Source organism: Homo sapiens, chromosome 5, assembly GCF_000001405.40.
Source record: "Homo sapiens chromosome 5, GRCh38.p14 Primary Assembly".
In the NCBI taxonomy this organism is placed as follows: Eukaryota; Metazoa; Chordata; class Mammalia; order Primates; family Hominidae; genus Homo; species Homo sapiens.
Window position 1 is genome coordinate 132,737,547 of NC_000005.10, and position 25,868 is coordinate 132,763,414.

Consider the following 25,868-nt stretch of genomic DNA (forward strand, 5'->3'; position numbering starts at 1 on the left):
GGGCGAGAGCGCCCAGTGCGCAGCCGCATTCCGAGCTCGCCCCGCCCCAAGCCCAGTCTCAGGCTCTCTCGGCCCTTGAATTACGCCTGCGCGGAGGCTTTCCGAGTCCATCTCCTAGGACGCCAGACTGAGGCCGCGCGTGCGCAATGCTGCCATTCTGCTGCGCTAGAAATGTGGCACGCACTGAGGCGGAGGTAACCTGGCAGCCCGGGGTTGGGAGGAGGAGCTGCTCTTAGGCCCGTCTTCTGGCCCTTGCAATACCCGGAATATTAAAATCAGTAATAGCAATTGTACATTTTGTCTCATCCGAAGAATTGAAGACCTTACCTACCTGACCTCGCTTGATTGCTAACTTCCTCATGACCTGTCTTACCATTAGAAAGTGAGCTCTCTTAAGGAGATTGTTAGTATTCTCACATCTATCTCCAGAGCCCACACAGAGCCTGGCACAGAGTGGGATTTTTATACGTGTTGGTCAAAGAACCAGTGATCCGTCCATCCTCTTTCTAGTCCACTTGAATGTGTAATGGGCATTTCAAGTTAATCATGTCCAGAATTGAAATCTTGATCCCCCATCAATCGCCCCACTACCCACTCCACCCCCATCAAAAAATTTAAAAGGGCTCTCTCTCATCCCTCTCAGACTTTCTTCATCTCAATATGTGGGAGCTTAATTCCGACAACTGCTCAGGTCAAAATTGCAGTCTCTTTCATACACAATATTCTATCTTTAAATACAGCCTGTTGTATCTATCTTTGTAGTGGAACCAGAATTTGGCCACTTCTACCACCACCATCGTCTCTCACGTGCATTACTACAATCGCTCAGAACTGGTTTCCTTGATTGTGTGTCCTTGTCCCTTTTCAGTGTGCTGGACAGGAGCCAGAGTGCTGGTGCTAAAACATGAATCAGATCTTCTCTTTTCTCTGCTCAAAACCCTCCATTGATTTCCCATCTTACAAAGCTAAAGCCACAAGCCCTACAATCCTCCCTCTTGCTTCTTCTGCACCAGCCCCACCTGGCCTCCTTGCTTCATCCAACATTCCCGTCGTGCTTCCATCTTAGCATGCAAGGGCTGTGAGCTTGCAGTAGGAACTGATAGAAATAAAGATAAAGCATTTTACATAGTGCCAGTGTACTGTTCTACATGCTTTCGTTTTTTAATTCATTTAATCCACACAATAACCTTTTGAAATAGATACTATTTATTATTATTTTACAGATAAAGTAATTGAGGCACAGGACCATTAAATAACTTTTCCAAGGTCATACATATAAACAATGGCAGAGCCCAGGTCCAAACCCAGGCAGCCTAGACAGCTCTTTCCCTAAAAAACCACCTGACCACTCACCTCCTCCAGAAAGTCTTTGTTCACATAACCCCAGTGAACCCTAACATGATTTCCTTATTTAAAATTTCAACCTTCAGCCCAAACTCTTCTTTTTTTCCCTCCCCACTTTATATTTCTCCATAGTACCTATCACCATTCAATATTTTATATATACACACATACAAGCTTTACTGAGATATAATTTACACACCATACCATACAATCACCGATTTAAATTGTACAAGTCAATAGTTCTTACTATATATGGAGTTGTGCAACCATAACCTAGAACATTTTTATCATTCCAAAAAGACATTCTGTACTCATAAGCCACTCCCCCTTGCTCTCTGCAACCCTCCTCCCACCCCACTCCCAACATCCCAGACCTAGACAACCCACCAATCTACTTTCTATCTCTGTGGATTTGCCTATTCTGGACATTTCATATAAATGAAATTACACAATATGCAGCCTTTTGTGAGTAACTTCTTTCACTTACAAAGTTTTCAAGCTGTATCCCTATTATAGCATATATCAGCAATTTGTTACTTTTTATGGCTGAATAATATTCCATTGCATGGCTATAACATGTTTTTTTACCTATTTGTCATTGATGGATATTTGGGTTGTTTCTACTTTTTGCCTATCGTGAATAATGCTGCTACAAGTTTTTGTATGAGCCTATGTTTTCATTCCTCTTGGTTACATATGTAGAAGTAGAATTGCTGGATCATTTGGTAATGCTAATGTTTAACATTTTGAGGAACTGCCAAGTTGTTTTCCACAGTAGTGCACCATTTTAAATTCCCACCAGTAACATGTAAAGTTTACAATTTCTCCACATCCTTGCCAACACTCACTTTTGTGTAAAGTAGTATCTTGCTGGAGTATTTATTTATTTTCATTTCCCTGATCATAATGATGTTGAGCATTTTTTTTCATGTGCTGTTGCAATTTGTATAACTTCTTTGGAGAAATGTCCATTCAAACCCTTTACCCATTTTATTTGCCTTTTCATTATTAAGCTGTAAGAGTTCTCTACATAATCTGAATGCAAAGCCCTTTTCAAGTATATGACATGCAAATATTTTCCCCCATTCTGTGGGTTTTCTTTTTACTTTATGGATATCGTCCTTTGAAGCACAAAAGTTTTAAATTTTGATCAAGTCCAATTTACATATTTTTTCTTTTGTCACTATGCTTTTGATAAGTAAGAAACCATTTCCTAACCCAAGATTATGAAGATTTACCTAGAGTTTTATAGTTTTAGCTGTCACATTCAGGTCTATAACCTATTTTTCAGGGTTTTTTGTTTTTGTTTTTGAGACGGAGTCTCACTCTGTCGCCCAGGCTGGAGTGCAGTGGTGCCATCTCGGCTCACTGCAAGCTCCGCCTCCTGGGTTCACCCATTCTCCTGCCTCAGCCTCCTGAGTAGCTGGGACTACAGGAGCCCGCCACCACGCCTGGCTAATTTTTTTTTTTTTTTTTTTTTTGTATTTTTAGTAAAGACGGGGTTTCATTGTGTTAGCCAGGATGGTCTCAATCTCCTGACCTCGTGATCCGCCCGCCTCCGCCTCCCAAAGTGCTGAGATTACAGGCGTGAGCCACCGTGCCCGGCCCGGGGTTTGTTTTTTTGTTTGTTTGTTTGTTTGTTTTGTTTTGCTTTTTGTTTTTTGTTTATGAGACAGAGTCTCGTTCTGTCACCCAAGCTGGAGTGCAGTGGCGCGATCTTGGCTCACCGCAACCTCTGCCTCCCGGGTTCAAGCAATTCTCCTGCCTCAGCCTCCTGAGTAGCTGGGATTACAGGCATGCGCCACTATGCCCGGCTAATTTTGTATTTTTAGTAGAGACAGGGTTTCTCCACGTTGGTTAGGCTAGTCTCAAACTCCCGACCTCAAGTGATCCACCCGCCTCAGCCTCCCAAAGTGCTGGGATTACAGGCGTGATCCACCATGCCCGGTACTATTTTATTTTTGTATAGAGTGTGATGGAGGGACTCAGATTCATTCTTCTGCATGTGAATATCCAGCTGTCCCAGAACCATTTGCTGAAAAGACTATTCTTGTCTACAGCCATACCACCCTGAAAGAGCCTGATCTTGTCTGAAAAACCTATTCTTTACCCCATTGAACTGGCACCTTTGTTAAACTGATCGTAAATGTGAGCATTGATTTCTAGACTCTCAATTCTAGTCCACTGATGTATAGTCCATCCTAATACCAATACCACACTGTCCTGACTACTACATGTTTGTAGTAAGTTTTGAAATTATATAGTGTGGGGCCTCCAACTTTCTTCTTTTTCAAGATTGTTTTGGCCATTTTGAATCCCTTGAATTGCTATAAGAATTTCAAGAACACTTTGTTGATATCTGCAAAAAGACAGCTGGAAGTTTAACAGGGATTATGCAAAATATGTAGATTAATTTGGAAAGTATTGCCATTTTAACAATTTAAGTCTTCCTACCCATGAACACAGAATGTCTTTCCATTTATTTAGGTTTTCTTTAATTTCTTTTAGTGATGTTTTGTAGTTTTCAATGTATAAGTTTTACATTTTTTGATTATATTAATATTTTTCCCAAATACTTTATTTTTTGTTTGTTTGTTTGTTTGTTTTCTGAGATGGAGTCTCAATCTGTGGCCCAGGTTGGAGTGCAATGGCATAATCTTGGCTTACTGCAACCTCCACCTCCCTCCCGAGTTCAAGCGATTCTCCTGCCTCATCCTCCCGAGTAGCTGGGATTACAGGCACGTGCCACCACACCCGGCTAATTTTTTTAACAAATATTTTATTCTTTTTATGCTGTTGTAAATGAAACTGTTTTTTAAAATTCATTTTCAGATTATTCATTAAAGTGTATAGAAATAAAGTTGACTTTTATAGTACATTGATCTTGTACTCTGCAACTTTCCTGAACTTTCTTTTTAGTGGATTCCTTAAGATTTTCTATATACAAAGTCATATCATCTGCAAATAAAGATGATATGATTTCTTTCCAACCTGGATGCTTTTTCTTTTTCTTGACTAATTGCCCTAGCTGGACTCTCCTGTACATTGTTGAACAGAAGCTGTGAACACAGACATTCTTGTCTTATTGATGATTTCAGGTGGAAAGTATTTGGTCATTTACCATTAAGTCTGATGTTATCTGCAGGTTTTTCATAAATGCCCTTTATGCTGGAACATTTTCTAGTTTGTGGAGTGTTTTTTATTATGAAAAAGTGTCAGATTTTGTCAGATGCTTTTTCTGATATAATGTGTTTATGTCCTTTATCAGATACATATTGATTTTTAGATGTTAAAACCAACCTTGTTTTCTTTTCTGGCTCTCTCTCTGTCTCTCTGTCTCTCTCTCTGTCTCTCTCTCTTTCTTGGTTAGAGCATCAGGGTGATACTTGCCTCACAGAATAAGCTGAGGATAGGGAGCGATAGGGAGCAAGTTCTTCTTAGAAGGGCACTAATTCCATCCCAAGGGTCCCACCCTCATGATGTCTGAGAGCCCTAATTTCCTCCCAAAGGCCTCATCTCTAAATACCATCACATTGCAGGTTAGGGTTTCAAAATATGAATTTGCAACAGGGTGTGGTAGTTCACTACTGTAATCCCAGCACTTTGGGAGGCTAAGACGGGAGGAACACTTGAGGTTAGGAGTTCAAGGCCAGCCTGGCCAACATGGCTAAACCCTGTCTCTACTAAAAATACAAAAATTAGCCGGGCATGGTGGCATGTGCCTGTAGTCCCAACTACTCGAGAGGCTGAGGCAGGAGAATCTCTTGAACCCAAGAGGTGGAGCTTTCAGTGAGCCGAGATGGCATCACTGCACTCCAGCCTGGACGACAGAACAAGACTCCGTCTCAAAAACAAAAAACAAACAAAAAAAAAATATGAATTTGGGAGGGACACAAACATTCCGTCCATAACACAGCCCTAGCAGACTTAATACAATTATTTAGCCCATTCACATTTAATGTTATTATTGATAATATTAGATTTAAGTCTCCCATTTTGCTTTTTGTTTTCCCTTCCTTCCTCCCTCCCTCTTTCCCTTCCACCCTTCCTTCCTTCCTTCCTTCCCTCCCTCCATCCCTCCTTTCTTCCTTCCTTCCTTCCCTCCCTCCCTCCCTCCATCCCTCCTTTCTTCCTTCCTTCCCTCCCTCCCTCCATCCCTCCTTTCTTCCTTCCTTTTTTGAGATGGGGCCTCACTCTGTTACCCAGGCTGGAGTGCAATGATACAAACAAGGCTCACTGCAGCCTCAACTTCCTGGGCTCAAGCCTCAAGCCATCCTCCTGCCTCAGCCTCCTAAGTAGCTCGGACCACAGGTGTGTGCCACCACACCCTGCTTTTTCTTTTTTTTGGTAGAGACGCGGTCTCTCTATGCTGCCCAGGCTGGTCTCAAACAGCTGGGCTCAAGCAGTCCTCCCTCCTCAGCCTCCCAAAGTGGTGGGATTGCAGGAGTGAGCCACCATGCCCAGCCTGCTTTTTGTTTTTTAATACGTCATATTGTCTTTCTGTTCCTCTGTTCCTCCTTCAATGGTTTTTCATTATGTGAATCTTTTATAGTTTAACATTTGAATTTCTTTAATTATTGGTTTACTATTTTTTAAAGTTATTTTCTTGGCAGGCCCAGTGGCTCATGCCTGTAATCCCAGCACTCTGGGAGACAGAGGCAGGTGAATCGCTTGACGTCAGGAGTTCGAGACCAGCCTTGCCAACATGGAAAAACCCCATTTCTACAAATAACAGAAAAATTAGCCAGACACAGTGGCGTACACCTGTAATCCCAGCTACTCAGGAGGCTGCGGCAGGAGAGTCGCTTGAACCCAGGAGGCGGAGGTTGCAGTGAGCCAAGATCGCACCATTGCACTCCAGCCTGGGCAACAGAGCAAGACTTCGTCTCAAAAAAAAAAAAAAAAAAAAAAAAGGCCGGGCACAGTGGATCATGCCTGTAATCCCAACACTTTGGGAGGCCAAAGTGGGCGGATCACAAGGTCAGGAGTCTGAGACGAGCTTGGCCAATATGGTGAAACCCCGTCTCTACTAAAAATACAAAATTAGCTGGGCATGGTGGTGGGCTCCTGTAGTCCCAGCTACTTGGGAGGCTGAGGCAGGAGAATCGCTTGAACCCGGGAGGCAGAGGTTGCAGTGAGCTGAGATCACGTCACTGCACTCCAGCCTGGGTGACAGAGTGAAACTGCGTCTCAAAAAAAAAAAAAAAAAAAAAAAAAAGCTCTAGGGCTTCCAATATAGATCTTATCAGAATCTATAATACTTCAGAGTTATAATAATTGAATTCCAGTGACATATATAAATGTAACTCCCGTATAGCTCTATTCCCTCCTCCTCTTTTTGTGCTATTATTGTTATATGGATTACATTTACATGTTATAAACCAAACAATACTTTGTTATAACTTTATGTTATAAAATTTTATGTATTTTAAATCTTCCAAAGTAGCCGAGAGAAGAAAACAGAGCCAAGTTTATATTTATAATTTGTAATATTAATCTTCTTATTATTTCTCGTTCTCTTCCTTGTTTCCTGTGGATTCAAGCTACCATCTGGTGTTATTAGCATTTTATATGATTCCATTTTCTCTCCTTTCTTAGTGCATATGAATTATACTTTTTAAAAACTTTTTTTGCTGGTTGCCCTAGAGTTGGCAATATACATTTATAACTAATTCAAGTCCACTTTCAAGTAACATTATACTGCTTTCCAGGTAATGCAGGTAACTTAAAACAAAGTATTCTTAATTCTTCCCTCTCATGGCTAGTATCATTATTGTCATTCATTCAACTTATCCATAACCTACAATCATCAAATACATTATTATTATTTTGAATAAATGATTATTAGATCAATTAGGAATAAGAAAAACAAAAGTTTTATTTTACTTTCACTTATTCCTTAAAGTTCTTTCTTTATGTCGAAATTTATGACCTATATCATTTTCCTTCTCTCTGAAAAATTTCTTTTAACATTTCTTGCAAAGCAGGTCTACTGGTGAGAAATACCTTCAATTTTGTTTGTAAAAGTATTTCTCTTTCACTTCTGAAGGATAATTTCACTGAATACAGAATTCTAGGATGGTGGGGGTTTTCTCTCAAAATTTTAAATATTTCACCCCACTCTCTTCTTGCTTGCATGATTTCCGAAGACAAGTCCAATGTGATTCTTATCCTTATCCCACCTTATCTTATTTCCACCTCATCCTACCCAGCTCCTGCTCCCAGCTTTGCTTGCTCTTTCTTTCTTTCTTTCTTTCTTTTTTCTTTTCTTTTCTTTTTTTTGAGATGGAGTCTCCCTCTGTCACCCAGGCTGGAGTGCAGTGGCATGATCTCAGTTTACTGCAACCTCCACCTCTTGGATTCAAGCGATTCTTGTGCCTCAGCCTCCTGAGTAGCGGGGACTACAGACATGTGCCACCACACCTGGCTAATTTTGTATTTTTAGTAGAGACAGGGTTTCACCATATTGGCCAGGCTGGTCTTGAACTCCTGACCTCAAGTGATCCGCCCACCTCAGCCTCCCAAAGTGCTGAGATTACAGGCCAGCTTCTTTTGAGATTTTTTTTTTTTAATCTTGATTTCCTGCAGGCTTTTTTCAACTTTTATTTTAGATTCTGGTATATTGTGCAATGCTGATATTTGGGGTATGAATGATCCTGTCACCCAGGTACTGAGCACAGTACCCCATAGTTATCCAACCCTTGTCCCCTCCTTCCCTCCCCGCTCTGGTAGCCTCCAGTGTCTACTGTTGCCATCTTTACGTCCATGTGTACTCAATGCTCGCTTAAAAGTGAGAGCATGTAGTATATAATTTTCTGTTCCTGTGTTCATTTGCTTGGAATAATAGCTTCCAACTTCATCCATGTTTGCTACAAAGGACATGATTTCATTCTTTTTAATGACTACATAGTATTCCATATTGTATATGTACCACATTTTCTTTATCCAGTCGATCACTGAAGGGCACCTAGGTTGACTCCATGTCTTTGCTACTGTGACTAGTACTGTGATGAACATGCAAATGTATGTGTCTTTATGGTAGAACAATTTATTTTCCTTTTGCGTATATACCCAGTAAAGGGACTGCTGGGTTGAATAGTACTGTTTTAAGTTGTTTGAGAAATCTCTAAACTGCTTTCAACAGTGACTGAACTAATTTACATTACCACCAGCAGTGTATAAGCATTCCCTTTTCCCTGCAGCCTCACCAGCGTCTGTTGGTTTTTGACTTTTTAATAGTAGCCATTCTGATTGGTGTGAGATGCATTACTCTGATGATTAGTGATGTGGAGCATTTTTTCATGTTTGTTGACCACTTGTATATCTCCCTTTGAGAAGTCTATTCATGTCTTTTTGCCTGTTTTTTGATGGGGTTGTTTTTTGCTTGTTTAATTAAATTCCTTACAGATTCTGGATATTAAGACCTTTGTCGAATGCTTACTTTGCTAATACTTTTCTCCCACTCTATAGGTTGTCTGCTGACTCTGTTGATAGTTTCTTTTGATTTTCTACGGTTTAAATAGGAATGTCTAGGTGTAGTTCTTGGCATTTATCTTGCTTAATGTTCTCAGAGCTTCCTAGAATTGTGGTTTGGTGTTTGGCATTAATTTGGAAATATTCATTCTCAGTCGTTATTGTTTCAAATATTTCTTCTGTTCCTCTCTTTCTTGTCCTTCTGGTATTCCCATATATTTTTAATATACATTTAATGTAATGAATTTTTTAAACAAAATATAACTTAGGAGCCAGGTGTGGTGGTGTGCACCTGTAAGTCTCAGCTACTTGAGAAGCTGAGGTTGAGGGTAGCTTGAGTCCAGGAGTTTGAGGTTGTAGTGTGCTGCGATCACACCTGAGAATAGCCACTGCACTCCAGCTTGGGCAACATAGCAAGATCCACCCCTAAAATTTATGTATGTATGTGTATACATATATATGATTTGTATGATTTTCCTTATTATACGTTTATAGCTATATATGTATGTATAGATACATAAACATATATGTATATGAATGAATCACCTTGTGAGGGAGGTATTATCACTTTTTTTTTCGGAGAAGAGGTAGCCAAGGCTCTGAGAGGTCACGACACATGCATGAGATCACACAGCGCGTCTGGAATTCCATTTCAAGCCTGTCTGAGGAGGGCGCTCTCGCTGCTTCTTTACCTGGTCTTGTGTCCCCAAGTGTGTAATGTGAGGTAAGACCCAGGGTCTGTGTCCGGGAGTCCTGGCCCAAGGCGGGCGCAGTCTCCAGCCGCCCCACCCCTGGCTGGGGGCTCTGCTCAGGGAGCACGGCCGGCAGGGGGGAGGAGGCGTGCGCTAGGCAGCAGCGGGGATGGAGGGAAGGGAGGGGGTCCGCCACCCGCCTGTGCGCGCCCAGTCCTGCCGCATCCTGGGTGCGCGCCGCCCACCCGCGGGGCGAGTGCCCAGGAGGCGAGGCGCGGCCCGGTGCGCCAGAGGTAGCTCCACCGCGAGCGTTGTGGGTGGGGCCCGCCGAGCCCGCCTCCCCACCTCCCCCGGCGGCGCCCCAGGCTGCAGTGTTCCGGGAGCTGGGTTATAAAATGCCGGGTTAAGCGGCAACTCAGACTCAGGATCCCGCTCACGACATGGCCTCGGGCGCTCAGCTCCCGCCGCAGCCGTCGAGCTCAGAGGTCAGCGCCGTCCAGAGCCCAGGCGGGCGTCCCGGCGCCGGTCTGGAGGAAACAGCCCTGGGCGTTCCTCTCCCGCCGTCTCCGGGGGAGGCCCCTCTGCCCCGAAGCAACCGGAGCAGGTGCCCTGGGACCCGCCAGCCCGGAGCGGCCTCCCTCCACGCGGCGTCCGCAGCAGTCCCCGTGCGGCCCCGGCGCGGTACGGCGCCAGCCGGGAAAACCGCAGACGCGGTCCCCGCCGCCGCCCCAGAGCAAGCTCCGCGGCCGGCTCCACAGTCCCGCAAGCCGCGCAACCTGGAAGGCGACCTGGACGAGCGCCGGCTGCTCTGCCACTTGCAGCTGGCCCAGGACCGCGAGGCGCGCCTGTGGCGGGGCGGCAAACCCCAGGTACCCGTCGCTGCCGCGTGGCCCTCCTCGCGCGTGCACGGCAGGCGGATGTGGCCTCCACCTGCACCCGCGCTCGGGTGTTCTGAAACTGGAGGCCGGGCCCTTCCCCAGGTGTGGCCCCTCACGAGAGGCACGAGGCTGGATCCACCAGCTTCTCTCTAGGAGGGCGTCTTGCTAGCAGGGCCTTCGGAAGAGGGCCTGTTTGAATCAAGGAACTCAGCCTACGACGAAAAGTGGGCGCGAGGGGTGGGGGTGATGGGTGAGCCGCTGCGCCGGGGGGCGCTTACTCCCAGCGGGCATGCAGAGGAAGGGACTTCTCACTGCCCCACCCCCCGCACCTTAAGCAGGAGGCTCCTGCTGCTGGGGGACCAGGAGTGGCCGCTAGCGACCTTCCTCGCCCCACCTGCTCTTCTTCCTAGCAGGATGAAATCTGCGACGCCTTCGAGGAAGTCGTGCTGTGGCTCCTGCGGCTTCAGAACACCTTTTACTTCTCCCAGTCCACTTTTAACCTGGCCCTCACCATCTTTGGCCGCCTCCTGATTTCAGTGAAGGTAGGGAGGCCTCTGAGGGACGGTGGCAGATGGTGAGAGAAGAAACTAACCTTTGCTCCCCATTCCTGCTTGAGAGGTGAGGGTTTCCAGATGCTCAAAACCAAGGTGTATAAACTAACTTGCTCCGAGTGGAAGAGCTGGTGTTGGAACCTCTCCACATCCTACACTGGCTGTCTCAGGGTCATGTAGTCATCAGGATTGGACTTGGGGAGCGTGAGAGGACCTAGCTGGGAAAGGGCTTCCTGTGTAATGAGGTAGGATGTGCTTGTCTCGACCTGTCGAGGGCAGCTTGAGGCTAGGATGAGACTGGGTTCCCTGAGAAGGTGCCATATTTCCCACCTCCAGTCAGTCCCGAAATGAAGGAATACTGCCCAGTCATCTGCAGTTCTGAAATCAGGAGCATCTTCGTTGGTCAGATCTAAAAACGGCACTAACATTCTGTCTTGTGGAGAAATTGAGCCTTTTAAAAATGGGAAAAAAAAGCTTATTAAAACAAACGGCTGGGCGCAATGGCTCACGCCTGTAATCCCAGCAATTTGGGAGGCCAAGGGGTGTGGATCACTTGAGGTCAGGAGTTGGAGACCATCCTGGCCAGCATGGTGAAACCCTGTCTCTACTAAAAATACAAAAATTAGCCAGGTGTGGTGGCCCGCCCCTATAGTCCTAGCTACTCAGGAGGCTGTGACAGGAGAATCGCTCAAAATCAGGAGGTGGAGGTTGCAGTGAGCCAAGATCATGCCACTGCACTCCAGCCTGGGCAACAGAGTGAGACTCCATGTCAAAAAAGTGTATAAAAGAAAACAAACACAGATGCTTTTCAGTTTGTTTCTGGCATTCATATTCTGCTCAAATGTGTTTGTTCCATACTGCAGGTAAAAGAGAAATACCTGCATTGCGCCACAATTACTTCCTTGAGGCTCGCTGCAAAAGTTAATGAAGAAGAGGAGGTATGCATCCTTGGAAGTCCACACTGGGCTGCACTTGAGGTATAGGGGTGTAACATTGGAGGACTCCAGTTTCCTGATAGGTCTGTGCCCTTAGGTATGGTGGATGTTTTGAAAAAGTCACCAACTTGCCGGCATCTCTGCTATCCCTTCCATCGGCTTGTCAGGCTTTGAGACCCCACAAATGAACAAGTAGAGCAGCTGAACTGTCCTGGCCCACCAAACCTAGAGACCTGAACTCTTGACAGATACATCTGGCCTCACTGGTTGATGACAGATGCTACCTCTCTCTAAACAGGGGCATCTGCTGTTGAGCAAGGAAAAAGGCCTCCCAAACCATGTGACTTAACATCCACCCCAAGCAATTATGTCTAAGAAAGCTGCTTGAGACTTGAGGACTTGGCTGTGTCAATGAAGCTGGTCCTTGGGAACTCTGGGACCCCTGAGAGGGACAGGAGGGCCATGTGCTGGGGGTAAAGTACAAGGGGCCCATGAGCATTTCAGGCATGGCTGGATGGCTGAATTTCACTGTGGCATCTGTTCAGGAGGAGATCATCTCCTAATACCCTTTCCAAGCTTTCCTACCTCCCTCCAACTTCTCCCAGTTTGGGGATGGTGAAATCACTGCCATTGCCACGGGGGTCACCCTTAGCTGATCTCTGGGTCTGAGGAGGCAGGGAAGAAGTTGTGTGTCCAGTTCCAAACCTTCAATAAAAATGTTTTAAACTCCTGTTTATTAGAATAGAATTAATGCCCAAGTTGCTTTTGTCCAACTAAAAATCAAGTGACCCTTTTTCTGGAGGTTATAGTAATACTTCTGTTTATCTAAAAACATAGGATCAAGCCTTTAATGTACTTGGTACTCAAATGTTTACTCATAGACAAGCCTCATTAGTCCCTCTGTGGGAAAAGCCATAGTTTTTCCAGAACTGAACCACCTTCAATCAAGGTTGAAGGAAATGTGTTTGCAGTTGCGATGCTAAAAAACCCATAGGAGGTTTTATCAATGTGTCTGGTACAGACTAGGAAGCTCAAAAGCATAGTTTTTTTCTCTATGCCCAGTACCCACGGTAGGGATCAGGAATAGGGAGAGGCAGAACCCATGGCTCCTGGAAAGCTTGGGGTGAGTTCTTGCAGCTGAACAGGGGAGATGGCACAGCCCCAGCCTCCAAAGCACCTTTGGGTATGAGCTAGCATGCAGCTGGGGGATCAAGACCCGGTTTCAGAGGGGGACCATGTGATGTTCACTACATAACTACCTGAGGATTTGACAGATAGCCAAGATCTGGTTTAGTATTTCTTTCAGAAGCATTTTCTGTGGCAGGCCACAGGAAGACAACTCCACTAAGGTCATGAATGCCCAGTCCCCATGGGTAAGAAAACAAAAGCTACTATGACATGATGTAGGGCTTTGGCCTCTTTATTTTCTTTTTACAGTTTATTCCACAAGTAAAAGACTTCACAAAGCACTATGGCTCTGACTATTCCCCGAATGAGCTGCTGAGGATGGAGCTGGCTATTCTGGACAGACTGCACTGGGACCTCTATATTGGGACGCCGCTGGACTTCTTGACTATAGTGAGTAAGGAGGTGTTTACAGAGTCTACCCTAAACTCGTTTGTGCCTTTGGAACAGCTGTTTACAACATGGGATGGCAAAGCACAGGCGTGCACACGCCCTTGCACATGCACCACAGTGAGGTGACGCACAAGGCTCATGACATACGGAAGAGTGAAAAGGTATCTTAAATCCAACACAGTTCCACCAGACTCCCACTTCTAAAGGACATTAAATTAACTTTACAAAGATTTTTAGACGGCACTATTATGGTGAGTTTCTCTTTTAAATACACACTGCAAAAATATTTAACTTTCCATTCTATGAATACTGTACATAAATATCTGTCTGCTTTTGCTACACTTTACACACATTCACTTAGCTGTCTTTATTCACCTACACACAATCCTTATTGAAGCTTTAGACCATATTGATCTGGCACTTAAAAAAATATCATACATTAGTTTGTATTTGTTTTAGTTGGGGGAATGATGGTCATCCTTAAGGATATGATTCTGTTAGTAAGGCAAAATTATGCAATGTGGAAATCTCATGGGGTTTTGGTTTGTTATGAAGCATGAAGATTAAATTACTAAAGACTGTTTCATTACGAAAACTGGCCACCGTTGCCAAGTTGCAGAGTTTCGTCTTATGATAAGCAGATACAAGTAACTTTTCTGCTACCTTGGTCTTGAATAGTATGTTTCTATTTTTCAGAATGGAAACATTGTCATCTAGGTACTTTCCGCTCATAACGATGATGTCACAAAGCAGACTTTTTTTTTTTTTTGGTCCCGGAGTGGAAGCTCAGCTTGGCCACAGGATGGGCATTAAGCCTCAAGCCCCTTACGGAGCCATGGATAGGAATGAAAAGGGTTGGGCAACATTTGATGTTCCCTGATGGAAATTTAAATTGTTTGCACTTTTGATCATTGATATAGGAAAAGTATGGCGTTTTCTGTTCTAACATTAAAAACCATGGTCTCCAGTTCCATGCCCTGGTGGTCCTGAGCTGGCCCCATGTGTTGGAGCTGCTGCCTCAGAGGAATCCTTCCCTCCACGTCGCATCCCTGACCAGGCAGCTGCAGCACTGTATGGCGGGCCACCAGCTGCTGCAGTTCAAGGGCTCCACACTGGCCTTGGTCATCATCACCTTAGAGCTGGAGAGGCTCATGCCCGGCTGGTGTGCTCCTATATCTGATCTGCTAAAGAAAGCACAGGTAGACATCAACTTTGCCCCAGACCAGGCTCTGTGTTTTGCCCCTTTAGCTGACACACTCTGACCCCAAAGGGGTACCCTTTGCCCTTGTAGCCTCTGGAAAATGTTCTGGCCATAACCCTGGAAAGAGTCTGCCCAAAGGCTAGGCTTTCCACACTTGGTCACGCTCTATGCACTTGAGATGGGACATGTGTTCCCTTCACTGGACCAATGGGGGTGGTCTCTGAGAGTGAGAGAATCTTTATCTCAATGGGAGCCCTTGTAGCCAAGAGGACTGTGGGGAGTCAGGGGTATGTCTGGCTTAGGAGGAAGCAACCCTGAGCTTAATACTGAGGAGCATAAATTCTAAACTCCTTCACCTCTCCTTTGTATGAGTGTGTGGTACCAGGTACAGGGGTACCATGAGGCAAGCATTGTGGGGGCACAAGGAGGAGAGGGGTGTGTCAGAATCCCTCAGAACAGATAGGTTAGGATGGAATGCATAGTTAGACTAATGACAACTTTACTGAGGTTGGAAATGGATGTCCCTGAGATGGTAGGATTAGTGGTCCTTAGTTGGGTGGTTGGACCTTCCTGAACTTGCTTCATGCTAACATTTTGGCACTCAATTGCCAATTTCTTAGAATGTATGATGGTTCTGCTTGAAGATGGCCACTCTATTCTAATACAGGTTGGTGATATGCAGTACAGCTGCTGCAAGGAACTTGTAATGCAGCAACTGAGAAGTCTTCAGTCATCCTCCTGCACAGACAACTTTGTGTCACCTGCCAACTAGCCCCTCTGCCTCCACCCCGGGGCTTTCAGAGCATAGTGTGAAACCTCCTTGCTTGGACTACCATGAGTTCTTTGGCTTGTTATGAATCCTGTAAAAAGGGAAGGTGGCTCTGGAAGAGCAACTGAGAAAAAGTTCCCAACTGAGCCCTTGGAAAAAAAATAAAGGGGAGAGGGGAAAGGCAGGCTGAGGTCAGTAGAGGTCAGGGTGGTCTGATAGACTATGACCCTGTCTTCCCTTTTTCTCCTCTGGGCCTGAAGCCAGGGAGTATGAATGAATGTTCAAATGGCAGCTTGTTTTACCTTCCTTCTCCAGCAAGGGTTGGCATTGGCCCCTGGGAGCGCTGGAATATGAAACCAAGAGGCAGGCCTGGCTCAGGGCTGAAGGGCTGGGGCTAGCTCTGACCAGTTCTTGCTGCTCTACCTGCCAGAGCTGGCCAGGTCCTTCCAACTTCCCAGGCTTATCCCAAACACATATGTGGTGCTTCCAGTCCCAACTACCCTGCCTGCCACTCCTCACATGGGACAGTCTCTGCAGATGCATTTACCCAACCATGGCTATGACTTATGTCTTCCCTTTACAAGGACTGGATTATAAAGTATGCTTTGTTTAATGTAACTTGAGCAAGCTTTAGGCATATCTTTCCTTTGTTACTCTTAAGCAAAGTGGTTTCAGTTATTAGTTTAACTAGAGGGATTTTGTGCTAATGAATGGGTATTATAGGCTAACACCTGTGATGGGAGGCACAGCTCTGAATGCTTTCTGTTGGGATGAGCAGGTTCTGAGGCCAAGCCTGCTCCAACCACAGTGCTGCCAGGAGGAGGAGCCGGCTGCCTCTCTCATGCTGTGCTACCACAGAGCCATTCTCTAAGCAGGGGAGTGCAGCTGACAAAGATGCCAGCTGGGGCTGTGTAAGTTGTGTTGGGGGCATGAATGACTGAGCCACACATTCAGAGGTGGTTTGTGAAGTCTTCCACTGTGAACTATGGTTTTTTTTTTTTTTTTTTTTTTTTGGTGTGTTTGTGTAAATGTGCTAAGCCATGGGGTGGGAGGGGAAAGATTTACTAGGTGCAAAGTGGTCAAGGGCCAGATATACTATAATTGTCTATATTATAGAGTTAGTATACATCTGTATTTTTTCTTGACACACTTTTGCTTGTTGGTGCTTTCGTTAAAATTACACTTTAATTGCTTCCGATCCTGTATGAGTCTTATTTTGAGCTACCATGCATTTAGCCTTGCGAGAGTCAGATACATTTGGAACACTATCTCCTAGGTCATATCAAGAACTCTCCTCTAGTCCAGAACCCATTTTACAGATGGAGATGCTGAGGCCATGCTGCTCACAGCTTCCAGTGGTGGCCGTTGAGTGCCCTCTGCCTCCTTCCTTCCAGTGTAAGTGGGACCACAGTGCATGAGGCAGAAGGACATCCTGAGGGCCCATACCAGTTTAGGCATCCCAGGCTTTAGGGGAACTGCTGGAAGACATCTGCTGCTTAACCAGGTGGCTATGGATGTGAGCTGGATTCTGAGAGCTGATCCAACTCAAACCTCTTGGAGAAAGCAGAGGGTAGACATGTGAGTCCTAGGACTGGGGTAAGAGACAACCTTCTGCTCTGGCTTTCTATAAATGATAGAACTCTTCTATAGGGAAGCTCACTTTTGTATTGCCGAAGTCCCACTCGTGGATTTTTAAAAATCTTATGTGCTTTTCAAGCTTGCCGTGGGGCCCCAGGTCCCATCCTACTTCCCTCTAATATTCTTTTCTGACATTAGGAACTCCTATCCCACCTCAACTCAGAGATTGGGAAACATTTCTCAGGGAGAAATATGGATACAATCTATTTTCCTTTTGACCCCAGCTATTGAAAGGCAGGGATTGGTGAAGGAATGAGGCTGAAGAAAATGGAGATGGAAAAAGCTCAGAGGCAGATGCTATGGCAGAAAGAAAGGTAGGTGGGCTCAGGGAGGAACAGGGCAGGGGGAGCATCATAGACCTGTCTTAAACTTGTCCAAACAGTACTTCCCTGAAATGAATGAGCCAAGTCATTTGATGATGTTTCCACCACCTAGGAGGCCCTCCTCCCCCTGGCTTCCTGGAGAGTCTCTGTCCTTCAAAGCTTGGTGAATACTTTACTTTGCCTCCCTGCTGCCTGCACAAGTAGAGCTGAGCTATGCCTGCATTAGGGATGTGTTCATACCACTCTCCCTGCAGGGGTCCCCATTTTCTCATTTTGGTCTTCCCAAACCTACCTAGTGCTCAATGGAGAAAGCTCCTTAAAAAACAAACCCACATACTTTTTATCACTTCTTTTCACCAGTCTGCTCTTCCTCAGCCACTTTTGCCTGTCCCCTAGGGCTTTCTACCTCTAAAAAACAGTCTCAGGTCCACCAGCCCACACCATCAGGCTGTGTACTTTAACACTAGCCACACTTTCACTACTCTTCCATCATTCCATTGAGATGCCAAGGAGCAGGTGTAGCTCAGGATTTAAGGGTACAGACTACCAGCGTTCAAATCTCAACTTCTCCAGTTACTTGCCATGTAACCTTGGGTAATTACTTAAACCTCTGTGCTTCAGCTATAAAATGGGGATGAATGGTCCCTAATCATAGGATTAGGATGAGGATTAGAGGAGTTAATGCATGTAATATGGTTCCGAGCAGTCCTGGCACTCGAATATTAGTAGTCCCGTGGCAAGCCTTTGTGTTAAGGAGGAACACTCCTCAAGGGCAGGTGCCCCTTTTCTCATGTCCTGCACCCAGTTAACCAATAAAGATTCATGGACCACAGGCTGCCCCTTTACCTTCCTGTAACTTTCCTGTGACTCTTCCCTCCATCCCCCACCTATGCAAGAGCCTTTCACAGATGTCTGTAGCAGGGTTTCCTATTAAAACAATTCCTACAGAAGTAGATCAACCTCCACAAAATTCAAAGAACAGACAAGCTGTATTTTACCACAGTTGTAGCAGATTAATGGGCTCAGGAAACGTTAAATCAGAAAAGCTACTGCCCAAAAAAGACACCACAAAAACTCAAAATAAATGCAAAATTTAATGAAAAAAATAAGTACAAAGTGAATGGAAAAGAACAAAAACAGTCAATGAATGCAGGAGTAAATGAATTAACACGTGAAGCAATTTTAGAAAAGCATGTTAACGTAACAGACTAGCAAGCCACACTTCCTCAGGCCTCGTATCCATGAGCCCCACTTAACAGGGAGCCCACATTTACACATACACAAACATATGCAGTCAGTAATGCACAATTACAAACCACCTAGATCAGGGTACCCACAACTAGAAAGAACATATTTCCACATCGGCCTGGGACAGGTCTGGTTTATGCCTTTTGATCTGGTGTAATTAATAGCATCCCCTTTCTCTCTCAATAGTCCCAATTTGGGCAACGAATTATATGGTGATTCTTCTACCTCAAACAAACATGGTTTATGATAAAGACATGATAGTAAATGCCAACATGATCCTGTAAGACAGCCCTAATAAAGCCAACAAATGACAATGAGAAAAAGAGGGGTAAATGAGACTCTGCAGACAGGGTCACATTCTATGGGGGCTAACTTACTAAACAGTGGCAAGTTTTAAGCTCACTTTATGCACCAAGGTTTAATTTGGTCTCAGCTAAAGAAGACAAAATTCCAAACACAAACAGCAGGGGAGAGGTGCAGTGAGGCTTGCTGGAGGGACCTGTGGAGGCAGCTCAGACCAGAAAACACAAGTCTGTCAAGTGTCCTGAAGATCCTGGGAAGGCTTAGGCCCGCAGGCAGCCAGCCACGAGTATGGCCTTTCAGTATGCCTGGGGTGCGACCCGCAGGCCACAATGGACGAATGGCCAAGTCTGCATACTCCAGAGTCCTAGGTTGGCCCATGAACCAGGAATTCTCATTTCTTATGTATCCAATGAACCTGCTGGGTCACCAGGCCTCATCTTCATAAATATGTTAGCTGAGAGAGGCTATCTTAAAGGTCATGCTCTGACCCAACTGCATACACTTTCAGACATAAAATTACCCTAGAGATGAGCCATTGGCAGCCCACATTTGCCCTGGATATGCCAGTTTACCTTTTTAGATACCCTCACTGAAGCATCAGTTTTCAATTGCAACCAGATACGGACTTATTGTGACGCTAAGGAAGCTTAATCTTCAGGGCCCCTTCCAAGACCCTGTACCTAATTTTATATTAACATTGTTTTTCTTAAAGAAGTCTTTCTAAATAATTCAAGCTTTCAGCCCCATAAAATTTAGATCCACCCCTGGTCATAGCATAAAAAGTTGAATTGTCACTAGAACCTGCTCTGCTGCTGGAGCATGGAGCCCCTCACAGGTAAAGGCTGCCTCTTCCTGGCCGTGCCTCGGTGGACACACACAGCTCACCCCTCCACTTCTCCCTGAGCAGAACATCATCTCAGGAAGGCAGGAGGAAGCCAGGACTTGGTCCTGGAAATCAATAATGCAAGCCAGACAGAAAGGGGGAAATGGTCATGAGAAGGAAGACAGGGGCATGAAAAGCAAACTACCAATTCCACAATAAATTAGCACGTCTTCCTGAGGCTTCCAGCCAGGGAGTAGGCTAGACTGTGAGCTCCTTGAGGGGAGCGTTGTGCATTCCTCTGGGTAGCTCCAGTGCCCAGCACGGTGCTTCAACATTAAAACTACCCTTCCTTTCATTTAGTCATTTTACATCTCCCATTTTACCAGGCCGTATTCTCAACACTGACATTCTTGGTGGCTTGTAAACCAACAGGAGCATAGAAGAGTCAAAGCTGCTAGTACTTCCTTAAAATGTTCCCCTTTAGAGTGCAGCTGAAGGGGAAAGCTCCTTTGCCGCTCATTTTTCCCTAATTGTCTATATACATCAGACACCTTCATCTCTTCACCCTGTGACCCAGCCAGGAAAGAAGCAATGACTTTGAGGTAACAACCTTTTTCCCACTGAGTACTCTTTACATTTGGAATATGCAGGATTTGCTTGGGAGTCTTAATTGGAGTCAAACACTTAACACACACACATGGAGTTGGTCCCTGTCTACAGGTAGCACCTCTGGGGCACAGACAACAGCTTTGGGCTGCTGTTCCATTTACATTCACAGTAAAAACGCTGGACATGGTCTTGTTCATGTTCCAATTCCATCCATAAAGAAATGCCAAACACTGTCATTACAGGAAGTTTATTACCCACCTCTCCCTGTATATGATAGGCATACTTTATACATAAGAAAGGTTTAGCTGTATTTTTAGTTTTTAAAAATCAGGGAATCTGTGTTACTTATGAAAATAATGGGAGAGGATATTATTTGTCTTGACGCTGGTGCCAAAATAAATATTTAGAAGTGTTTTAAAGTTATTAAAATTAAGCTGTAGGTTAGAAAAATTAAAATGAGGGGAACTGGGTGAATTTTGCAGCATGTATACCAGACCACGCAGCTGCACCTAGGGCACCACGTGAGTTGCCATCTCCACGCTGAACAATTAGGCCTAGCATCCCGGCTGGGGCCTTCGCTAGAGCGGCACATAACAGCTCCGTCAGGGAATAGTGACACTGTAAATGGAAGACCAGCCACTGGCTCTGAAAAAAATAAACCTCGTCAGTTTTGGATTCCAGCATTCATGGCTTTTACGTGTTTGCATAGAGAGGGGTGGCCCGCCAGGCCCGGGGCAGCCTGGGGCCAGGGTCGGTGGGAGGAAAGCAAGGCTGTAAACACTGGAGTCTGTACCGGCTCCCAGTCCGTCCTCACACCATGTTATGGGAGAAGGGTCACAAGGTGTAACTCAAGCAACTTAACACATGAAAGTCTAAAGTCCACTCTTGACATGTAAGTCTGTGCGTGCGTTAACTGAAAAATAAAAATAAAACAAACAAAACAAAAACAGACACATTAAAAGATATGCAGACCAAATCAAACAGAAGCAAAAGACAGCAAGATGGACACCGTGAAAGGGCAGTCAGTTTGGCATTTGTGACGAGCAAAGCAGAGAATTCACCTCAGTTTGTGGTGTCCCAGGCTAAGGGTCAAGATCTGATTGGGAAGTAATTTTGCAAAAAATTTGGATTCAAATTTAAAGAGTATGCATAACCAATCAAAACCACTCAAATAAATGGTCATGAAAAACACCCCTGCCCCCATTCCAAAAATGCACTCCCGACTCACACTAGTCCCTTGACCAGGGCGGCAGGAAGGAGTACTCCCAGTCAACCCACCTACCCCATTCCTGGCCTCCACAGAGCCGTCATGGGAAGAGCGTTTTCTCTCCCAGGGACCAAACTGACTGAAGCTTTCTAGCAGGTCCAGAGAACAGGAAAGACCTGTTTTCCAGGCCCAGGCCTGGAGAACGTATCATGGAGCCCAGGCCACATGGGAAAAGCAGGGAGACCAGACACCAGTGACAAGCCCCCACCCCGAGGGCTGTGCTGGTGTCCTTTCAGCCTGCCTGCACCCACCTTCACTGGCCCTCAGACCCTGAACTGGCCACAGACCCCTGTCTGCAGTTGCTGAGTGGTTTCTCCACAGCTTATTTCCTAGGGAATCCTGGCTACCTTTTCTTTAACAAGATGGCAGGAAGCAGGGCAAAGTCACTTTGGGTGCCAGTACCTGGGTCACAGACTCCCGCTGGCCCTAATGGCTAGGCTCCATTGCCACCAAGGAAGGAAGGGCCTGGGCATACACATCCCCAAATATCCCAGGAGGAAATGGATCCCGAGAATGACGGCCAGGTTGGGTTCACCTGCTTAGTTCCTAGGTTGGCAAGAGAAGGATGGTACCCAAGATAGGCCGGGGCAGGGAGAAGCAGGGATGGATGGGATCCCCACAGTGTGACATAGCATGGCTGTGAATGAGGTGGGTGGGCGAGGGTGAGCCCCAGAAGCCAGGACATCTGGACTCCAGCTAAGGGTGTGGAAACAGGCTATGAAGATCGCCAGGGAGAAGTGACTCATAGTTGTCCCCACCTGACTACTCCGTTGACTGCACTCCTGGTGCTGGGAAAGGCCTCCCTGCCATCCAGTCTTTCTCTCCTCTCTCCACTCTGCAGGAACAACTCCAGCCTCTACTTGAGGGGCAGCTCTTCTCCCCAAAAGAACCCACAGAGCCCCTGTGGGAAGCCGCTTTCCTCCCTTAAGCCCTGCGGGCCCTTCAGAACAGCTGTGTGGTGACCAGTCTCCAGGAGGCCAGTGTTGGCTGGCGCGAGTGCCCGCAGTTCTCCATCACCACCTGCCAGCCAATACGGGCTCCACACCACTGCCCCACAGACTGAGGAGGGATGCGCCACAGGTGTCCAAGCAGAAACCACCACGGCTTTTGGAATCTGGCTGGAGATGCTGACATTCCCAGGTCCTGTCCCGCCCCTGGCCTGAAAGACCATTCCCAGCATTCCCAGAGCCCTGCAGCTTCGCCCTCTCCACGCTGCTCCTCACCCGTGCAGCCCCACCTTCACCACGCTGCAACAGGGCCACAGCTGCCAAGGGGGCTATGGGAGAGCGAATGGGTGAGCAAGAAAGTTGGAGGAAGAGGAAGAAGGGGGAAGAGAAGGAGAGAAAAAGGGAGAAGGGAGAGGGAGGGGGAGCACAAGATTGCCTGTGCAAGTGAGACTGCATGAGTATCAGAGCAATCCAGACGGCGAGACACTGGATCACTAGTGAAAGAAAAAGGCAACCAAGAAAGCTGGGGGGAGAGCCACTGAAGATGAGGGAAAACCAAACAGGAAAGGGGTAAGAGAGGGCGAGCAGGAGAGCGAGAAGGGAGGTGAGGGACAAGAACGAAAGCAAGAGCCCACAGGAGCAAGAGGAGCCAGCGCAGGCGCAGCCTGCCACCTACTTCTTCTTGTCCTTGTCCTTCCTCAGGGGCTGCTGCGAGGTGGCGTGCAAGGCCTGCGACTGCAGGGCCTCCACCGCAGCCTTCCGGCGATTGAAGGCGTTGGTCTCCTCCTCCAGTTCCCGGCGCTTTTCCTCCACCTTGCGCTTCTCCTCCTGGTGGACCCGCTTCAGGTGCTCAAACTTCTCATGGAGCTGGCATCAGAAAGGGGGCAGAAGATGCGGGGAGCAAGAGGAGGGCTTGAGCCTGGGCCAGGAAGGCACCCCCACCTCTACCCTCAGCCAGGCCTTCCCTCCCTCAGCTTCCCCATCCCAGCCCCCAGCCTGGCACATACCTCCCTTTCCTTCTCCTTCAGCTCCAGCTCTGTCTCCTTCACTTTGTTGACAAACATCTGCCTCATCTCTTCCTCCTTCCTCTGCAGCTCACTTAGGAACTCCTTCCTCTTGGCCTCGTATGTCTCTTGTAGGCTGTGGAGACCCAGAGAAAAGAGGCCAAGGATGGGATTATGACGGAATGGGATAGGGCAGGGCAGAGCCAGAGAAGTAGAATCATGTGGGCACGAGGGGTAAGAGGATGTGGGGTCCCTCAGGGAACAGATGCCAGGGTGGTGTGTCTGGCCACAGCTGTGAAGACAGGCTCACTCTGGCTCAGGCTGTCACCTGAAGGGCTGGCTGTCACCATCGCTGTCCTGAAAGCCCATCTCCTCCAACTTGCAGCGCCGGTAGAGCTCGTAGTGCCGGCTGTGGGTCTGCTCGCGGAGGTCTTCCATGTTCACCCGGATCAACATCTCCCGCAGCTTCACGAAGTCGCAGTGATTCTCATTCTCCACTGAAAGCAGAGGGCCGGTGGGGTATCAGGCAGGCATGCAGGCGGGCACACTCCAGAGTCAGGGTAGGCACGCAGGTGGGCATGAGGAGGAAACAGCACAGGGTACTACAGGCAGCAGGGCAGGCCAGGGAACTCAGTTCTACCCCCAGGATGCATTTCCTGTCCACACTCACCCTGCACCACTCCCCAGGGGTACTGCCGTGCTCGGACCAGCTTGTTCCCCACCTTCACCTCCTCGGTGCTGCCCACCACGGCAAAGGGCAGATGTGCCTGGAAAGGGGCCCGGGTATGCGTAAGCCCTGAGCTGACACAGACTAATGGCAGACTCTCCCTCCCTGCCCCTGGGTCCTAGGGAGGGGCAGCCAGACCTGAACAAAGGCTCCAGGGCCAGATGCTTACTTCCTGGCTCTCTTCTGGAGAAATGTCCCAGAACTCCAAACAGGGGAGTGGGCTGAACCCTCAACCCCCTCCCTGGTGCTCCTGATTCTCCAGGCTGTTCTTTCAGCACTCGGGCCTCCCAGGGGCCATTAGAGCTTCCTGAAAGGACCTGTGAGCCTGGCTCCCTTCCAGGTTCCCAAACCCTTAAGCCTGCTCAACTGCTTCCATTTCCAGGCTCCTCCATGAGTCCAGATCTTATGACACCCAAACCTGGGGTCCCCAGTGTAGGCCCACTATCAGATTCTTCCTGTCCCCTGCCCACAGATGTAGGACTGGCCAGCTCCAGATGCCCACCCTTCTGTCCTGGAGAAGCTAAGGCTGGAATCCTGGGGAACAAGAGTCTCCTGGGGCTGTGTCAGATCTGTGCCGGCTCCTCGCCCTCTGGCCCCAGGGCCCTGAGGCCCTCACCCAACGCTCACATTCATGACTGCGTTAATCTCTGCAACAGCCTCATCATCCGTGGGGAACTGGTAGATCTGGACCCCGTTGCTGACCAACTCGCCCATGATCTTGATCTTGAACTTGTGGAGCTCGCTCTTGGAGATGGTGTCAGCCTTGGCGATGATGGGAATAATGTTCACCTGCCAGGATCAGGGGAGGGGACAGCAGGCTGGTTGGCTCTTTTGAGCGGTGGTTCCCATGCCATGCCCAGGATATGGATAGACATGCCCAGGCCATATCCCTGGGCAGGGGGAAGGAGGCCAGAGAGATGGAGCCACTCCCACGGGCAGCCATAGTGCAAACCCAGCCACCTGTGGCCATTCTGATGAGTTTCAACAATTGGCTGCAGTGCTTCTTACAGCCCTGGTTCCCCCAAATCACCATCCAGCCCCAAAACTGGTCCCCCTAGGCATACCCAGCTTTGACCCAGAATCCTTTGAAGGTCCTAATTGGCCTGGGGCCTAACAGAAGGAGTGGTGGGGGGGCTATGCTCCCCACTAAGCAGGTAAAAGGACCCATCAGCAGTAGCCATAAGAAGATCCCAAAATCTCCCAGGCCCAGGCTATCCCGTTTTTTACAATAAAAATGAACTCCTGAGATGGGAGGGCAGTCACGTGAGAGCTGACAAGGGATGTGGGGTCACATGCCCTTCAAGATGCACAGCACTTCCAGTCCTTCCCATGAAGCTGCCTCCCTTCTCTACCCCTACAGTACCCACCCCTCATTCACATCCCATTTCTGGGCCTTAACTCTCCTCTCCCTGATGGGCTCAGAAGGAACCAAAGGACATTTATGTCAGGGAGGAAGGGGGAAGTGAAAGGAGGAGCTAGAAATTAGGAATTGAGAGATAGAAAATGAGCAGAGAAGAGGCTGAGATGGGAAGGGAGGTTCCCTGGAGCGAAGGGGAAC

The 25,868-nt window shown here is 47.2% G+C and overlaps 2 protein-coding genes across 23 annotated transcripts in view, besides 5 other annotated features; one reads left to right on the forward strand and one right to left on the reverse strand.

Moving 5' to 3' along the window:
- Window positions 9,363-9,442: an enhancer, noted in NCBI's record as "active region_23095". NCBI's record gives its function as "activates an Ori minimal core promoter by ATAC-STARR-seq in GM12878 lymphoblastoid cells {active_cell/tissue: GM12878}" and the evidence as "EXISTENCE:reporter gene assay evidence [ECO:0000049][PMID:35858748]".
- Window positions 9,533-9,952: a silencer, noted in NCBI's record as "silent region_16333". NCBI's record gives its function as "represses an Ori minimal core promoter by ATAC-STARR-seq in GM12878 lymphoblastoid cells {active_cell/tissue: GM12878}" and the evidence as "EXISTENCE:reporter gene assay evidence [ECO:0000049][PMID:35858748]".
- Window positions 9,880-18,519, forward strand: CCNI2 (cyclin I family member 2). 6 transcript variants are annotated; one of them, NM_001287253.2, is made up of 6 exons: window positions 9,880-10,378; window positions 10,798-10,929; window positions 11,802-11,876; window positions 13,311-13,451; window positions 14,420-14,650; window positions 15,320-16,857. In NM_001287253.2, the coding sequence occupies exons 1-6, from the start codon at window positions 9,950-9,952 to the stop codon at window positions 15,422-15,424; spliced, it is 1,113 nt and encodes a 370-aa protein (NP_001274182.1). In that variant the 5' UTR covers window positions 9,880-9,949; the 3' UTR covers window positions 15,425-16,857. The 6 variants fall into 6 exon arrangements, with proteins under 6 accessions (NP_001274182.1, NP_001274181.1, NP_001034869.1 ...); NM_001287252.2 differs by having other exon boundaries at window positions 10,801-10,929; window positions 14,372-14,650; NM_001039780.4 differs by having other exon boundaries at window positions 10,801-10,929.
- Window positions 9,963-10,032: a silencer, noted in NCBI's record as "silent region_16334". NCBI's record gives its function as "represses an Ori minimal core promoter by ATAC-STARR-seq in GM12878 lymphoblastoid cells {active_cell/tissue: GM12878}" and the evidence as "EXISTENCE:reporter gene assay evidence [ECO:0000049][PMID:35858748]".
- Window positions 10,053-10,242: a silencer, noted in NCBI's record as "silent region_16335". NCBI's record gives its function as "represses an Ori minimal core promoter by ATAC-STARR-seq in GM12878 lymphoblastoid cells {active_cell/tissue: GM12878}" and the evidence as "EXISTENCE:reporter gene assay evidence [ECO:0000049][PMID:35858748]".
- The window catches only part of SEPTIN8 (septin 8), a 29,265-nt gene continuing 16,669 nt past the window's right edge, over window positions 13,273-25,868 (reverse strand). For 4 of the 17 annotated variants that reach the window (XM_005271931.4, XM_017009256.1, XM_005271928.4 and 1 more), the window contains 6 exons: window positions 24,938-25,099; window positions 24,254-24,350; window positions 23,912-24,080; window positions 23,587-23,719; window positions 23,256-23,446; window positions 13,273-14,635 (listed from right to left, as the gene is read on the reverse strand). In XM_005271931.4, the coding sequence (XP_005271988.1) occupies window positions 14,470-14,635; window positions 23,256-23,446; window positions 23,587-23,719; window positions 23,912-24,080; window positions 24,254-24,350; window positions 24,938-25,099 (918 nt within the window). In that variant the 3' untranslated portion in view covers window positions 13,273-14,469. Of the gene's footprint in view, window positions 14,636-18,457; window positions 22,179-22,390; window positions 23,447-23,586; window positions 23,720-23,911; window positions 24,081-24,253; window positions 24,351-24,937; window positions 25,100-25,868 lie in introns of those variants that run through there. The other 13 variants (XM_047416999.1, XM_017009255.1, XM_017009254.3 and 10 more) reach the window with 4 other exon arrangements.
- Window positions 14,095-14,304: an enhancer, noted in NCBI's record as "active region_23096". NCBI's record gives its function as "activates an Ori minimal core promoter by ATAC-STARR-seq in GM12878 lymphoblastoid cells {active_cell/tissue: GM12878}" and the evidence as "EXISTENCE:reporter gene assay evidence [ECO:0000049][PMID:35858748]".

Coding starts and splice junctions, on each gene's coding strand:
- CCNI2 (NM_001287252.2), top strand. CDS start 9,950: ATGGCCTCGGGCGCTCAGCTCCCGCCGCAGCCGTCGAGCTCAGAGGTC. Junction 10,930..11,801: donor GCCTCCTGATTTCAGTGAAG/GTAGGGAGGCCT, acceptor TCCATACTGCAG/GTAAAAGAGAAATACCTGCA. Junction 13,452..14,371: donor CGCTGGACTTCTTGACTATA/GTGAGTAAGGAG, acceptor TCATTGATATAG/GAAAAGTATGGCGTTTTCTG.